Genomic DNA, 3,979 nt, shown 5'->3' with positions numbered 1-3,979 from the left:
GTGCCTGGTCTAACTGTGTCCCTAGCTGGGCCTGGCAGAGAGGTGGTGGCCGGGCCAGCAGAATGATGTTGGTACAGGAAGAGGATTTTTCTCAGGATAAAAGGCTGACTCTAGCCTGCAGCTCATGGCCTTTAATAGCCTAATGATCACGTGAGAGTCCTTGGCTTGGTCTGGCCTGGCCAGGCCCTGAGCACTGGCAGGAGAGCCCCACCCAGGTTAATTGATCTGTTTCTATCCTCTGACAGGCCCTGGGCAGGAGTTGGCACATTTTCCTCTGTGCACAGATCTTCCCCGTGCCAGGCTTACAAAAGGAAGTTTCCGGAGCTGAGCAGGTCTGGCACATTTCAAGTTGTCCTGAGTCTTGTCCTCATGGCTCTCCACTTCTCTTTTTTCTCTCCAAACTTTTCTCTCACCCGCTCCCTAGCTGATTTTGTTCTCTTTTCTCATTTTAAATGACTGACCTTCCTCCTCCTTTCCTTCTTTCCTTCTCTTTTCTCTCCCTCCCTCCTTTCCATCTTCCCTCCCTTCCTTCTTTCCTTCCTCCCTTCCTTCCTTCCCTTTTTCTCCCTCCCTCCCTTACTCCTTCCCTGCCTTCCTCCCTCCCTCCTTCTCTTCTTCCTTTCTTTCTTCTTTCCTTCCTCCCTTCCTCCTTACCTCCTCCCTCTTCCTTCCCATGTTTATTTGTTCTGTCTTTTTCGTCTCTGTCTTCCTTATTCCAGTACCCTCACTCCAGATTCTCCCTCTTTCTCCAATCTTTCACCAATATTTCAGAAATTTCTCTTTTGCTTTCCTGCCTGCCATACTGGATAGAAGTCAGATGGCTATTTGTGTAATCTTCCCCTTCTCTCCTCCTTCAAGTGTTTGAGCAAAGAGGCCACATTTTCTTTCACTCTTTCCGAAACAGTTTCAGGTACCACCCCTGGTGTCTGACCCTTGTCACATTCCACTCGCAATAACCAAGTTGACCAGTGCCGGTGCCCAGACAACAGATCCAGGCTTGTAGCCAAAGCCAGTTGGGGGTTAGCTCTGGGAGGCCCTCATGCTGAGACTGGCAACCCAAAGTTTGCAAGTTGTCTTTTTGTTCTTTTCCTTCACCTCTTGAGCCTAGGCAGGGTCACTCTGTGTACTCAGGCTACACTTGAGTAGTCACGGATGAGTGCTATAAATTCATAGGTGTAACAACATAAGAGATCAGATATAGCCAAGACAGATCTGCCCATTATTTGACCTTTCTTGATTCTTCATAAAGAATGAAATGGAGGCCACTGCTATGTTTGCCATCACTCTGAGGGCCTCCTAGGGCACAATCAGGTTACGGACGAAGTTCTTATTTCTTCTATTCATTCATTCAATAAGCATAACTGAATAGCATTTCCAGCATTGGAAACAAGGACACAAAGGTGTTCCCGGTTCTCAAAGAGCAGACAACTTAACAGAGGAGATGGACCTTAGAAAAGCTTGAGGTAATTATTAAGGAAAATACCGATGAAGTGCCATGGAATATAGACTGGCTGTGGAAGACGGTAAAATACCCAGAGAAGAAGATATTTGAGCCAAGTCTTCAATTGTGGCAGAAACAAAAAGACCCAACCATTAGCAGGTGTGCAAGATAGCCAGAGGGACTGGTATTAATTAAAAGGAAAAAACCACAAATCATTTGGGGAAAAGGCACAAAAAATGAATTAAACCCTAACAAAAACTAAGAGCTAAGAGTCAAGGATTTAATCCACTCACTCTCCCCTTCCAATGCCACTGATAATTTTACTTAAAGTGGATGTATGCCAATCAATTCCTCAGCCCCAATTCAAGGTTAGACATCCAAAAGCCAGAAGAATGACATGCTAGAAAGATGATTTAGAACCAAAAGGTTTGAAACATGGTTCTGTCTTTAACATGCTACTTTGAGCAAAGTTCTCCCTCTTTAGTCCTCAATTATATTCCAAGTTCCCCTCAGCTTTAAATGTGATGTTTGTTTCTAGGACTGAGAGTGATTTGTTGGGTTCTGCCATGACCCTGAGAAGAAGGCCTTCTGTGTCTTCCATGTTTATTTGTCCTGTGTTCCTAAAGCCACAGTCTTTTGGGGAAGGAAGTGTGGGGCATATTTTTACACATTTTATAAATGAGGACTAGAGAAATGCGCAAGTCCTACCCTCCCCACCCCAAATCATGCTATTCACATCTTTCCAAGACAGCAGATGGAAAAAGGCAGATAAAAGACTGAAGTTATGTCTTTAAAAGGGTAGAAATCTGTATGGCATCCTAGAGCAAGAGGATGAAGAGGATGACGCAGTTTAGCCCCTAAGGAAACTGAGACCCAGAAAAAGCACATGTCTTGGCTAAGGTTACAGAACATGTCAGTGGCACAGCTGGGACTCAGAGGCTTGTTGGGCCATTGGTCAGTGCTCTTTTTATTATGCCAAACATGCTCATGTCTCCTCCTCAGCTTTTCAGGAGCTCCATGGCCAGTTCACCTCCCCATTCTGACACCTAACGCCGTGAGGCTCCGTCCTTGAAGAGATGTAACATGTTCTGGAGAAGATGTCAAGGGTCACTTCGAAGTGTGCACAGGTGAGTTAATGAGAGCTGCTGCCTTTCAATGTGGGCTACTGACGCTTTCTCCAACAGGTAGGTGTCTTGTGTGCAAAGGCCAATAGTATTTCCTGCAATCTGGAGGCAGATTCTGCTCACAATCTCGAGACACAGCAAACTCTCCCCACCCGAGAAGAGGATGGGATGAGGCACACTGAAGAGGTAGGGAGGAGGAGATGGAGAAAAGATATATTTTTGTTTGGTGGAGAACACACACTTTTCAATTTCAACCAAGACGTTTGAAATGCACACAATCACAGTTTCTTCTCCTTTCCCTCAGGAAAGAAAACTGATCCTGTAGCCACAGAAAAACAGGACTGAGACCAGGAAGGGCAAGTCGTGTGTGTCAGCATTGTGGACCTTTATATAAATAATAATTTTCCAGTGGGAACTGTGATCTCTTCTTGTCTCTTCTATTTTTAAATGCTAATTACTTCTGATTTTGTTTACGTAGGCGGAGCTAATAAGAACATTTGCTTCATAACCATTGAACCTAATGTATCTGTTTTTGGACACTGGTGATTTATTTTTGCACACATGCTCCAAATTGGTGCTAATTACTTTAAAGGATCAGAGTTTCTATTCCAAGAGGGATGACGACAGAATGTCAATTTGGAGTCTCTGAGCATAATGTCCCAATTATCAATGCATTCCAGACCAGAATGGACTTGGCACCTTCTTGAAGGGATTTGGCTTCACTTTTATCAGCCAGTCCCTGGTTGTAGCTTCATTAAAACTTGCTTTCTAGTAACTTGTGGATGTGCCTATACTTTTCTCTGTCTCAAAGACCCTTCAGTGTCATATCAGTATCCTGAATACCTACCTTTTCATTTCCAGATCAAATACTTCTCCCTCTGAGCCTTTTTTGATCTCTTTGGCCCAAGATAATTTTAATTCCTAAGATTTTCTGATTCCTTTCTTAAAGAGGTTAGCACTTTCTACATTGTATTGTAATCATTTGCTGTTACATTCTTACCTCCTTTCTAACAGATAAGCCCCTTAGTGACAATACCTTATCTGAATTATCTTTGTCCCCACTGCACACTGAAACTTCTCCTGGTGCCCTGTACATAATAAGTGCTTTACACATTGATTTAATTGCGGTTTGTTTATAATATCCTACATGCTCCAGAAAGATTTTAAGGTAGATTTAAATAAATATTTATGCAACAAAGGAATGAATACATCTATACGCACACAGAATTACTAAAGTCTATAATCAATATATGAAGTATAACTACACAGTACAAAATTTAACCATCATACCTAAAAGAAAAACAAACACGATGCTGTGGGGAATGCTTGAGAGGTAGTAACAAAGGCTTTAAATCTTAATGACCACCAAAGTAACCCACATTCCTGATATGGTATTTGCTCAACATGAATGTTT

General features: G+C 42.9%; 1 long non-coding RNA gene across 1 annotated transcript; it reads left to right on the top strand.

Moving 5' to 3' along the window:
- Positions 1 to 245: 245 nt before the first annotated feature.
- LOC105374263 (uncharacterized) lies at positions 246 to 3,340 on the top strand. Its single transcript, XR_924812.2, has 3 exons — positions 246 to 332; positions 2,444 to 2,751; positions 2,870 to 3,340. It is a non-coding gene; the product is annotated as an uncharacterized LOC105374263 (long non-coding RNA).
- Positions 3,341 to 3,979: the final 639 nt, after the last annotated feature.

This window comes from Homo sapiens, chromosome 3 (assembly GCF_000001405.40).
Source record: "Homo sapiens chromosome 3, GRCh38.p14 Primary Assembly".
NCBI lineage: Eukaryota > Metazoa > Chordata > Mammalia > Primates > Hominidae > Homo > Homo sapiens.
This window is presented reverse-complemented; position numbering and strand designations above follow the sequence as displayed.